Source organism: Homo sapiens, chromosome 22 (assembly GCF_000001405.40).
Source record: "Homo sapiens chromosome 22, GRCh38.p14 Primary Assembly".
In the NCBI taxonomy this organism is placed as follows: domain Eukaryota; kingdom Metazoa; phylum Chordata; class Mammalia; order Primates; family Hominidae; genus Homo; species Homo sapiens.
In genome coordinates, this window is record NC_000022.11 from 37294450 (window position 1) to 37307070 (window position 12621).

At 54.6% G+C, this 12621-nt stretch overlaps 1 protein-coding gene across 2 annotated transcripts in view, besides 2 other annotated features; it reads left to right on the forward strand.

The window, feature by feature from the left end:
* The window catches only part of CYTH4 (cytohesin 4), a 32834-nt gene that overhangs the window by 11942 nt on the left and 8271 nt on the right, over positions 1-12621 (forward strand). For both annotated transcript variants that reach the window (NM_001318024.2, NM_013385.5), the window contains exons 3-8: positions 211-275; positions 1550-1616; positions 3115-3233; positions 4777-4857; positions 6458-6570; positions 8805-8953. In NM_001318024.2, coding sequence (NP_001304953.1) covers positions 1554-1616; positions 3115-3233; positions 4777-4857; positions 6458-6570; positions 8805-8953 — 525 coding nt within the window. In that variant the 5' untranslated portion in view covers positions 211-275; positions 1550-1553. The remainder of the gene's footprint in view (positions 1-210; positions 276-1549; positions 1617-3114; positions 3234-4776; positions 4858-6457; positions 6571-8804; positions 8954-12621) is intronic.
* Positions 9379-9673: a silencer, noted in NCBI's record as "tiled region #14238; K562 Repressive non-DNase unmatched - State 6:EnhF". NCBI's record gives its function as "represses a minimal TATA promoter and a strong SV40 promoter by Sharpr-MPRA in K562 cells {active_cell/tissue: K562}" and the evidence as "EXISTENCE:reporter gene assay evidence [ECO:0000049][PMID:27701403]".
* Positions 12422-12591: an enhancer, noted in NCBI's record as "active region_18966". NCBI's record gives its function as "activates an Ori minimal core promoter by ATAC-STARR-seq in GM12878 lymphoblastoid cells {active_cell/tissue: GM12878}" and the evidence as "EXISTENCE:reporter gene assay evidence [ECO:0000049][PMID:35858748]".

Sequence of the window (12621 nt, forward strand, 5' to 3'; positions counted from 1 at the left end):
TTTAGCATGCGACTTAGAAATTATGAGACATCCAGGGAGGGGACCTGTCCATGGAGGGTCCCTCAGACTGGGGACTCAGGACAGAGGTCAGGGAGAGGGGCCAGGTTTGAGAGTCGTGCCCAGGGGTAGGAGTGGTCCTTGTGGTCTCAAACCCCCGGGGTTCTGGCCTCCACCCCTGACTCTCCCTGTCCTGCCCCTGCCACCCCACAGAAGCTGAAGGATGAGATTGCAGATGTGTTTGCCCAAATCGACTGCTTCGAGAGTGCGGAGGAGAGGTGAGGGGCTTGGGTGGGGACCCCCAGAAACTGCCATGGTTGCTTCCCAAGGATGTCATACACCTTGAATGAGCAGGGGCCACTCCCAGCCCCCTGGACCTGGTGAAATCAGGGATTGGCCAGGGAGAAGGAGGCAGCAACGAGACCGGAACAGGGTGGCCCCGGCCCCATCCCGGGTCTGGTCCCTGCTCCCAGGCTGACCCTCTCTTGAGAGACACTGCGTCCTCCCCTCCCCCAACCCAAAGTCTCTCCTGACCCACTGTGGTCCAGCCCTGACCGATCACTGGCCACATCCACCCTGGGATGGGCGGGGAGAAGGGAAGCTCAGCCCCAAGGGCAAGGACAAGGAAGCCCAGGGCCCCAGGAGGACAGGAGCCTGGCCCTACCCCACCCCACTCACCACTAACCCCGGGCCAGCCACGCCCACCGCCTCTGTGGAAAACTCCCACTATTTTGTGATCTGGGACAGATCCTGTCCCTCTCTGGGTCTCAGTTTCCCCATCTGTGCAACAAGAAGGTTGGTTGCTACACAGTCTCCTAAGGCCCCAGTGCACTGACTCTGACACACGATGTCCTGGCAATTTCCCATCCTGCGCCCGCCACTCCTTAGGTCTCCACCTGTCCAGCCTCCTCCCCTCCCCCACCACACACATGCACACACACACACGCATGCACACACACACAAGCATGCACACACACACAAGCATGCACACACACACAAGCATGCACACACACGAGTGGCCGTTTCTCCAGCTCCCCTGTTCCAGCCACAACAATGACAACATAACACACCTACGCCTCACTGTTTTAGGTGCTTTAACCTCTCAACAATGCTGGGAGGCAGGTGGTGGTATCACCTCCATTTTATAGATGAGGAACCTGAGGCCCAGAGAGAGGAAGTGACTCGCCCAAAGCAGCCCGGCTCAGATTCGCATCCAGGAGCCTGGCTCCAGCACCTGCGTGCTCAGCCCTCGCCCCCTCCCCCGGTTTCTTGCACAGGGCCCCTCCACCTTCTCCCACACGGCAGCTCCGGGTTCCTGCAAGCTGCTAAATGCCCGTGCTGGGCCCATCAGAGAAGTCAGCTGCAGAGCTCTGGGAGGAGCCAGGCCTTGCACTGCTCTCTCCCGCCCAGGTGGTTCCCATGCAGGACCCGGAGGCCACACTTGGAGGGCCCTAGAGGGGTATGGGCTCCTGCTGAGGCAAGGGTCCTTGGGGAGTGGAGAGGGTAATTCAGGGTCCTGGGGCAGCCCAAGCTGACGTCCTCATGTCCACAGCCGGATGGCCCAGAAGGAGAAGGAGCTGTGTATTGGGCGCAAGAAGTTCAACATGGACCCCGCCAAGGTAGGTGGCTGTGGAGGGCCCGGGCCACAGGGTGTGGGGGCTGCATGGGAGCACCTGCCTGGTGTCCTCTCGCTCCCCTCGGCTGACACGACCCCTTTCCAGAGGAGGAAGCTGTGCCCAGCAGAGCTGAGCATCTTGTCCAGTGCCCCATGGCCAGCTGTGGCTGGGCGCCCTGTCTACTCCCAGGCATACACGCCTTGGGGCAGGAGGAGCCAGGAGCATGGAGGAGGCCACGGTGTCCATGCACTTGGCCTAGTCCCTTCCCCACTCTGGGCCTCCATTTCCTTCTCCATGAATGTGGCTTGGGACAGTGGAGCTCTTGGATCTGGGGCTTAGGCTCCAGAAGCATCTTCCAGCCCTGGGCTCAGGGAGGGCCAGTCCTGCGGTCCCACCACCCACCCCTCTGCTAGTAGGAGCAGCAGCTCAGGGCTGGGTTACCTCGATCCCCCACACCACTCCCAAGCCCCTGGCCTCACCCCACCAGGTGGCAGCTGGGCTTCCATCCTGAAAGGACGGAGACAGAAGGAAACCGCAGGCAGACACACCGAGGTGGGGTCAGGTGGCCAGCAGAGAGCACCAAGCTGGGGTCCCTGGAAATTTACCGCTCTGGCTTAGAAGGCTCCCTGTCCCCATCACAGGCCCAAAGTGTTATAACCATTCACCTCTCATGGCTACAGACCCTTGGACTCCTGCTCCTACCCACAGAGACCCCCGCAGGCTCACACTCTCACCCCACCCAGCACCCAGGGGTGTCCTCTGCATCCTCTGCCTGTCACTGGGCCCTCATGGCCTGTGCCCAACTTCCAGCAGTGGAACACAGAGGAATCTTCACGGAGAGCCAGAGACCAACCCCTCCAACTCCTAAAACTAGGATGACAAACTCTGAGTGCCTTGGTGGTGAGGAGAGGTGCTTGTGATATTGTCAAATCCGAAAAACAGATTTAAATGTGACAGGCATGGTCTGAGCCCATTTTCACATAGAAAGGGAAGGAAGGTCACCACGATGGAAGCTGTCTGCCTCCGAGCGGTAGGGCCCGGGCAATTTCCTCCCCTTTGGATTGAGCTGGTTTTTCTAACTTTTATACAATAGACATAGATTACTTGTGTGAAAGAATGAAACGCTATTTTTAAATAATATGAGTTTTAGGGGAACAAAAGAAATGGCTGAATCATTGAATCTCAGAATCACAAATTCCTAGAGTCACTGAAGCATATAATCAAAGAATGTCAGACTGAGGGGGACCCTGGGGAGTACCTGGCATGAACCTGGTTCATGGCAGGAAAGCTGACTTTCTTTGCATGCCTCCAGTGATGGGGAACTCATCACCTCCCAAAGGCAGCTCCTATGAAAGAGGGGTCAAAACTTCCCAGAACAGACTGTGCCAACACCAGAATGCCAGGCTCCAGGATTCTGGCCATGGAAGCTCCTTCCTCCCTTCCCCCTCCCAGGCCTGCTTCCATGCAGCAGCTGCTCACGGCTTCTGTGTACCCCCTCCAGGGTATCCAGTATTTCATTGAGCACAAGCTGCTGACCCCTGACGTCCAGGACATTGCACGGTTCCTGTATAAAGGCGAGGGCCTCAACAAGACAGCCATTGGTACCTACCTGGGGGAGAGGTAAGAACGAGTGGAGCCTTAGCGAGGCAGGAAATGAAGGTGTGCAGGTGTGTACAGGTGTGTGGATGTGCAGGTGAGAGGATGAATTATGTTAGCAAAGTCATCACTCCTAGTGCTTGAGGGGCTCACGGATCATCCCCTCCAGATTCTGAGTCAAAGCCTGACTGCCTTCATTCATTTAGTCATTTATTCAACAAATAAATGTTGCTCAGGGTCTACTGTGTTCCAGGCACCATCCTAAGCCCTGGGTGTACACCAGTGAATAAGACAGACAAAACTCTTGTCCTCAGGAAGTCCATGCTAGTGGGAGAGACAGGTCTCAATAGTTGTAAAATATGTTAGAGAATGATAAGCTCTGTGGAATACAAATCGAGCAGGGAAGGGAAGTCAGAAATGCTGGGGACCGGCCAGGCTCGGGGCTCATGCCTGTAATCCCAGCACTTTGGGAGGCCGAGGCAGGCAGATCGCGAGGTCAGGAGTTCCAGATCAGCCTAGCCAACGTGGTGAAACCCCGTCTCTACTAAAAATACAAAAATTAGCCGGATGTGGTGGCAGGTGCCTGTAGTCCCAGTTACTCAGGAGGCTGAAGCAGGGGAATCGCTTGAGCCTGGGAGTCGGAGGTTGTAGTGAGCCAAGATCACGCCATTGCACTCCAGCCTGGGCAACAGATTGAGAACGAGACTCCGTCTCAAAAAAAAAAAGAAAAGAAAAGAAAACAAAGAAAGAAAGACATGCTGGGGACCATAGGTTGGGGGCTGTGATTTAGAATAGCGTGGACAGGAAGGGTCTCATGGAGAAGGTGACATTTGACCAAAACGTAAAAGAGGTGAGGGCATGAGCAGTACAGACATCTGGGGGAGGAGCGGTCCAGGAGTAGCAAGTAAAAAGGCCCTGGGGTCAGAAACAGGCTCAAGAATCTAGACTGGACGGGAGGAGAGAGGAAGGATATTGTGGGCGAGGAGGTGGGGATCTGTGGGAGCGCTCTGGGCAAAGGACTGGTCTGAGGGGTGGGCGAGTGGATAGGGGTGAAGCTGGACCAGAGAGTCAACAGCCCTCTCCCCAGCTCCCAAGGACACCCCTCCCTCCCGCGGTGAGCAGGGGATGCAGACGGTGAGAAGGGCACCTTCCTGCTTCAGGAGCTGGGGAGAGGGAGGAGATGGGGGAGGTCAGCTTCTCTCCCTTGTACAGATGAGGAAGCTGGGGCTGGGAAGGTCAAGTGGCTTCCGCGAGGTCACCAGGTGGGAAGTTACAGGAAATGAGGAAGGCCTGGACTGAGGGCAAGGCCGCTCCAAAGCCAGGGCTCCCCTCCCAGGCCAGACCAGCGCTGGTGAGCCGTGAAGGTGTGTGTTCCTGCATGGGAGGACAAGGGTGTGCCCTCAGGGTGTGATATGGGTGGGACAGATGTGAACACACCAGATGGCAGCTGGACCCCAGAAGGACAGATGTCTCTGTCCTCTCCCTCCCCCACCTCAACCCCCTCCAGGAGGTGGGTGCCAGCAAGTATCCAAGTGTGTCCCACCCTCCCTTCCGCCTCCTCCCCCAGGGATCCCATCAACCTGCAGGTCCTCCAGGCCTTCGTGGACTGCCACGAGTTCGCCAACCTCAACCTCGTCCAGGCCCTCAGGTGAGTAGTCCTGGGGCAGGGTCCCGGCCCTCAAGGGTGGCACAGCCCCAGTGGCTGGGGGTGTCGCGATCCACATAGCTGACAGCACAAACAAAGGGTTGGGAGCAAAGAAGAGGAGGCAAGGAACAAGAATGACTTCATGATAGTACTGCCTCACAGAGCTGAGCTGGACCGCCTGGGAAAGGGCCTAGTTCCTTGCAAATAGCAAATACTGCCTTCTTAGTTAGAATTCTATCATGCCCATATTTAATCATTCTAATCATTATTACTTTATTATGGTCATTCTCCTACTTTTTGGATTAGTGCATGTTTTATTTATTTTATAAGACTGCTTAGCATGTATTCCAATTATTATGACTTATTAGCTTCTAATTAGGGTACTGTTTTTGGTACTCATTTTTACAACTGCAGAGGCAGTCCAATTATCAGTTTGAAGCACAAACTCTGGAGCCAGACTATACAGTTCAAATCCCAGCTCTGCTGCTCACCCCCGTGTGACCTTAAGCAAGCCATACACATGCACAAAATACAAAAATTAGCCGGGCGTGGTGGCGGGCGCCTGTAATCCCAGCTACTCGGGAGGCTGAGGCAGGAGAATCACCTGGACCTGGGAGGTGGAGGTTGTAGTGAGACAAGATCACACCACTGCACTCCAGCCTGGGCAACAGAGTGAGGCTCTGTCTCACAAAAAAATAAATAAACCTTCCTGTGCCCCAGTTTCCTCATCCGTAGAATGGGGATAATAATAGTACCAACTTCACAGGGTTGTGAAGACTAAATGGGAAAGTGTTTAAAACTGGTCCACAGTGAGTGCTTAGTAAGTCTTGATGCTGCTTGAAAACTCAGATTCCGAGAAGGAGCATCTGATCTGGGCTTTGGAGGGTGAGTAGGAGTTCACAATACAGAGAAGGAAGAAGCCACCACCATCCAGTGTTCTCTAACTCCCAGCTCTTTAAGGGAGAGGGGTAGGTGACTTGGGAGTCTCCCATATTCATTCTTTCATTCATTCATTCACATATTCATTCATTCATTCACTTATTTACTGAGCCTTTGCTAGGTGCCCAGGACTGTGTGAAGCCCAGGAGGAGAAGTGAGAGATACAGGCCCAGTTCTCACCTTCAGAGAACTTAGCTTGAAGCTGTCGAAACCACCAACTTCCAGAGCTAGAGGGAAGTCGAGGTTCCAAGAAAGGGAGCCCTAGCAAGGCAAAACCCCTGCCCCACCTCTTCCCCAACTAGGTCCCACAGCCAGATCTCAGGGCCCAAAGGCCAGGTGCGGGGAGCCACAGACCCCGGGGCAGGCAGAGGCCGTCCCCCTTCCCAGCTGAGGCAGACTGGGCTGCAGTCAGTGCTGGGATTCAGACCTGCAGAGCGGGGCGTGTGCTTAGTTCCGTATTCTGCAAGAAAAGGCATTTCTTGGCTACCTCCCGCGTGCTTGGGGCTCCCTGGTGCCCATCCCACTTCCCCGTCAGCCCAGATGACAGTTGCAGATTCCCCCATTTACAGGATACAGAGACTAAACCTGGGAGAGGCAGGGCAGCTTGTCTGGGGCCCGCGAGGGCCCACCCACTCCACTGCCCGTGGCCCCGTTTCTCCCCCAGGCAGTTCCTGTGGAGCTTCCGGCTGCCGGGCGAGGCCCAGAAGATAGACCGGATGATGGAGGCCTTTGCCACTCGATACTGCCTCTGCAACCCAGGCGTCTTCCAGTCCACAGGTGCCAGGAGGGGAGTGGGACCCAGGGCTCCGGGACCCCTTCAGCATTGCCAGGCATAGATTTCACAGACCCCCTCAGGTTTCCCCCAGGTACCCAGACCCTGGCAGCCCAGACCCCTTCATGAGCCCTCACTGAGCACTGACTTCATTGCTGCTGGGTGCTTGTCTGACAGAGCTGCCTTGAGACACAGTTCTTAGGAGAGCAGTCAGGAGACGATGGCACAGGATGCTAAGGCTAAGGCAGCAGCACCCCTTTCTGAGGGCAGGAGTAAGGGAATCAGCATGTCCAAGATGGCTTCTCAGAGGCGGTGAGGTCTGAATGGGGTTTTGAAGGATGAGTAGGAGTTTTCCAGGAGGTTAAGGGGAGAAAGGGCCTTTTTGGCAGGAGTTTCAGTTGGAACAAAGGCCCAGAAACATGAAACAGCCTGGGCAGGGTGTAGGGGGCAAAAGGGGCATAGAAGGAGATACATAAAGGTCAGTCCTCCATAGCCCTCTCTCCCAGGGCTAACCCAATGCCCATGTGAAGACATCCAGAGGACAGGGTGGGCGAGGGACCATCCTGGCCTCTTCTCTGGATCTAGTTGTCATAACAACAATAACCAACCCTGTATATTGAGTAATCCCTATGCGCTGAGTGCTTTACACAGGCAAAGCCACTCAATCCTTTTTTTTTTTTTTTTTTTTTTTTTTTGAGAGAGAAAGAAAGTCTGTCTCTGTCACCCAGGCTGGAGTGCAATGGCGTGATCTCAGCTCACTGCAACCTCCGCCTCCCAGGTTCATGCAATTCTCCTGCCTCAGCCTCCCAAGTAGCTGGGATTACAGGCACCCACCACCATGCCTGGCTAATTTTTTGTATTTTTAGTAGAGACGGGGTTTCACCATGTTGGACAGGCTGGTCTCGAACTCCTGACCTCAGGTGATCCGCCCGCCTCGACCTCCCACAGTGCTGAGATTACAGGCGTGAGCCACCATGCCAAGCCAAAGTTACTCAATCCATACATCAACCGTTTGAGGTCAGTAGTCTTCTTATCCCTCCCTCACGCATGGAATATAGCTTCAGAGAGATAAAATGACTTGTCTGCGAGCACGCCGCCTCCTGGCTGTGTCCATGGACAAACCTTCCAGAACATTTGCCCTACTTTGTGGTTAGATCTTAATTTAGTGTTTGTTTGCTTGTTTATTATCTGTCACAAGTCTAAATGTCCTGCAAGGGCAGGGACCCTGTCAGACCCATCATCAGTGACTCCCAGGCCCACAGCACAGAGTATGTACTCAATAAATAGTTGTAGGTAGGAAAGAAGGCATCTTAAAGCACCAGATTTGAATCACGGTCCAATTACTTCTTAATTTTGTAATGTTGGGCATATAGCTTAACTTCCTGTGCCTCGGTTTCCTCATCTGTAAAATGGGAGTGATAACAAGACCTGCCTCATAGGATGGGCATGGGGATGTGAGAGCTTAGCACAGGGCAAGCACCAACAACGCTCGGTGCCACTGCTATCAGAGATGGAAACATTGATGTTCCAGAACAGGCAGTTACTTCAAAGATTAACCTCTGAATGTCAAGGATGGGGAAGCTGAAGGTCAGAGAGGTCAAGTACTTCCCAAGGTCAACCAGAGAGTTGAAGATGCAGCTGAACTTCCCTGGCTCTGGATCCAGGGCCCAAATACTCGACAAAAGACCTTGCCAGAGTAGCAATTACCTCCCTCCCCAGCCATCAGCCCAGCCCTCCCTCCTGAGTGCTTGAAAGTCTGAATAATGGGAGAGGCGCTGGGGCTCAGGAGGAACGCCAGCAAGATTACAGAGCAGCAGTGGCTCAGCCCTGAACAGTGCCGCTAACAATGAGTGTTCTTCTCCGAGTTCCGAGAGGCAGAGAACAGAGTGGGCAGGGGGCTGGAAGGGCTCTGCGGGGAGGAGGTCCTGAGCCGTGGCTGAGCGAGAAGGAGGATTGAAGCGGAGAGGAGGGAAGGAAGGGCAGGCCTGGCAGGGGATCCAGCAGGAGCGTACGCGCGGAGGTAGGAAGGGGCTCAGAAAAAGAGGCTGAGGTTAGTTTAAGAGGGGGTGGGGACCAGCAAGAGTGGGAAGGGAGAGGAGGCTGGGCCTCAAAGCCCAAGCCAGGAGGACAAGGTGGACCTTCGGGGCCTTGCAATGGCAGTTCTGGGCCCTGGAAGGGGCCGGGACAGAGGCAGGGAGAGTGGCCAGGGCCAGAACTGTGACCGCTGTCCCCTCCGCAGACACCTGCTACGTGTTGTCCTTCTCCATCATCATGCTCAACACCAGCCTCCACAATCCCAACGTCCGGGACAGGCCGCCTTTTGAGCGCTTTGTGTCCATGAACCGCGGCATCAACAATGGTAGCGACCTGCCCGAGGACCAGCTGCGGGTGAGAGAGGCGCAGCCCACCCAGCCTGGCCCCGGGGAATCCAGGAGGGACCTGTCCTTAGATGGATGGCCCGGGAGGGGCTCCTCTGAGATAGACAGCCCCCAGTGGGGACTCTGCTGATATGGCCCACCCAGGCTGTGACTGTCTTGAGAGGCACCGTCACAAAGCGCATTGGTCCTGAAACCCGCCTGCCCAAAAGAGGCCCCCATCTTGAGAAGGATGTCCGAGATAGACCACCCAGGAGGTCCACCCAGATTTAAGCCTTTGGGGGACTCTAGGCAGCCATCTTTCACATCTTCCAAAAAGGGTACCTCACACAGCCCAGGTCTATTTCTTAGAATAGAGATTCTTAGACGCTCAGCATGTCAGGCCTGAAAACCCTCAGACTCTGCTCTAAGCCCTCTGTCCTTTAGAGAGGAGGAAACTGAGGTCTTCCACAAGGCCCTACTTGAGCTGGGCCCTACCAACCTCCGGTCGCTTCCTCAAATAGCCTGCACCCCTGCCACACCATGCCAGGCTCTGCGCCCAGCACAGGGGCCCCAGGGATGAATCAACCACATATGCTGCCCTGACCAAGTTCAGGGTCTGGTGGGAGGACTGTACACATGTGAATCACAAGGCTGCATGATTCATGCGGTGCTGGCTGTGGGGATGGAGCTCTGGAGACGCAGATCTGCTGTCACTGCGGCTGTCATTGCTCTGGGGGCAGGGAAGGGTGCCATCCTGGAAGTCTTCACAGAGGAGGTGACTTCTGAACTGGGCCTTGAAGGTTACATGGGAGTGCTCCCAGAGGAGAAGCCGGGAAAGGACATTTCAAAAAGAAGAAGTGGCCAGAACGGAGGCGTGTCCTGATTGGGAAAGGAGAGGTGTCCAGTGTGGCCGAGGTGTGGTATATATGCACAGTAGTGGGTGACAGGGTGGGGCCAGAGGGTCCAGGGCTTCCAATGACAGCCTCAGGAGTTTGCCTGTTTCCTATGGGCCACAGGGAGCCAGGGGGTATTCATAAGAACAGGAAGGAGAGATTCAGAGCCTGGCTTAGGAAAAATGAATGGACAAGTTCACTTCAAGGACTGAAGATTCCCCAGAGCCCCCTGAGCTTCAATCCCCTCCATGGTCAGAGCCCAGCAGGGAGGGGCAGAGGGGGCGCGAACACCACGGTCCCAGCTCAGCACCGAGTATACCTCCTGCCTCCAAGGCTGGGGTGGAGCCTGGATCTGGAATGATTCTGGTGCCCCTCGGTGTTTGAGAACTGCCTCACCCTTAACCCACCTCTTGCCTGGTCCCAAAAGGAGAAAGTACATCAGAGAGGAGCCACTCCGTAGCATGAGAGCTTGAGAGCTGGTTGGAGCTCAGGTCTACTCCCATCTTCCCCGTTTGCCTGCTAGGTGACCTTGGGCAATGACTCACTGGAGTTGAAGCCACTATCCCCTCTACCAGGAGAGTGGAGATAATAATACTTGCCACAGGGAGTAACTGTTTTAAATGTTACGGGCAGAGCCTGTGCCAGGTATATAATACCTGCCTCCTGCGTGGCTCCCCAGCTAAAGTAGGGCCTGTGGCCTAAGTCACTATTAAAAATAATTAATAATGAAAAAAGCCCCAGCATTTAGTAAAATGCCTGAAACATTTTAAACAGCATTTGAGCATTGGTGACTCATTTCATTTGGGGTCCTCGTGGTGCTATGCGGGCACACCTTGTCTGGCAGGGAATGAGTTAATTACCTCCCAGCACTGGTCCTGCCGCTCTCCCAGGTGCCACATTATTGCCTCTAGCTCCCAGTGAGCCCTCTTCAGCATCTCCCTCCTTAGCTGTTTTTCCCAATTCGAGCCTTTTGTTAATAACAATGCACTGCATTTGTATGGAACTTGTAAGTTTCTTCTCACCAGGCTTTGGGGTCTATTATCTCAATTTAGCTTCAAAATCTGCCCGGGAGGTTTAGGAAGCCCTTATTATCCTCTTTGGCAACCCAGAGAGGCAGACACAGACTAAGGGAAAGAACAGAGCGCTGGACTCAGAACCACCTCCAGTCCCGGCTACCCCACTTTCTGGTTGTGTGACTTTAGGAAAGTGGCTTGACCTCTCTGAGCCCCAGTTCATAGGATTAGTGCAGAAGTGTAAGGTATTCAGCCAAGTGCCTGGTGTAGTTGGAGTGGCTAATCAATCCTGAAGCTTCCCAGGTCAAAAAGAAACACACAGGCAGCTGCGTGGATGTGGGGATCCTCTTGCCTTCTGTCTGGGCCTCACTTTCCCCATATGTAAAGCAAGGATTCAGCTTTAAGCACCTTCAGATAGTCAAAGGTCAGCACTTTGCAGAAGGATTCTCCAGTTTGGGCCCATTAAGTGAGGAGGACATGTAATGCTTTTAAGTGGCCCAATTTGCAAAATTAAGTCTACACAGGTGTGACCCAAAGAGAGGTCACCTCAAGGGTACACAGACCATGAGGATGCGCAGCTGGGAAAGGCTGTGGAGAGGTGCACAGTGGTAGTCAGGGGACAGGAGGGTTGAGCCAACCTTGCTCTGGCCATCCAGATGGGGCAGGGGCAGAGTCCCCAAGAAGCTCAGGGTGAAGGCACAGTGAGTTCAGACTCACAGGGATGGGAGGTCAAATCCCAGCTCTGCCCTTATGTCTGTGTGACCTTGGACATGAGCCTCAGCTTCCTCATCTGCAAAGTGGGCTGATGATGCTGGCTTCATATTGTTTTCTGAGAAGCTGTCAGGCGCCTGGCACTTGGCAGGCCTTGAGAAAAGCTAGGAGAGGAACCACCCACCCTGAGGGCTGTGGGAGGGGGAGCTAGGGTGGAAGAGGCACAGGAGATAAGGGGACAAAGAACTCCACTCTCCGGTGTTACAGTTGGAGAAACTGAGGCCCAGGCAGAGTAACAGTCTCCCAGTTCCAGGCATCTTCTGCCATAGGCAGCCCTGCACCTCCTGGGTCCTTGCCCAGGCCTCTCGGTCAGAATGGACTGTGGATTGGACACAGTACTAAGTACTTTACGTTATTAAGTCATCCCGTCCCCAGTTTACAGCAGAGGACACTGAGCTCCATGAGAGGTAGCTGGCCAGAGGTCTCATAGTTTATGAGGAGTCCTGATTCAAACCCATGACTGACTTCAGCGCCTATCCCTCTGCAGAGGCCAGAAGCCAAGATTTGGGGATGGAGGACTTGGCTGTGCTTTCCAGCTACCAGTTACTTCCTAGCTAGGGGAATCTCAATTCATGTCACTGAAAAGATCAGAGATCGATCTGCCTTCAGAAATGCTGGCTTCAGGTTCAGCTAGATCCAGGTGCCCAGTGACATCACGGCCTGATCCAGTTGCCCCATCTCTCAGCAACCGCCTCCTCTGTGTTAATTTATCTCTTAAACCAGCTCTGCCCAGGTGTGGCAGAGATGGCCCGGCCTTCCCGTGCCCTCACAGTCCTCCTCCTCAGCTGTTTCAGCTAAAGTCCCAGGATTAATGCTTATTGGCTGGCTTGGGCCTGAACTGAACTCCCTGAACTGAGGCTAGCAGGATGAAATGCTCTAATCAGCCAGATGTGAGTCATTCACCCCCTCCTGGAGCCTGGGGCTGGGGACCTGTGGGTGTCAACCCTGCCAAGTGACCTGGACAGAACACAGAGGAGCAGAAACTCCCCAGAGGGAAACTGAGGAGGTGGGGGTGGAGGGAC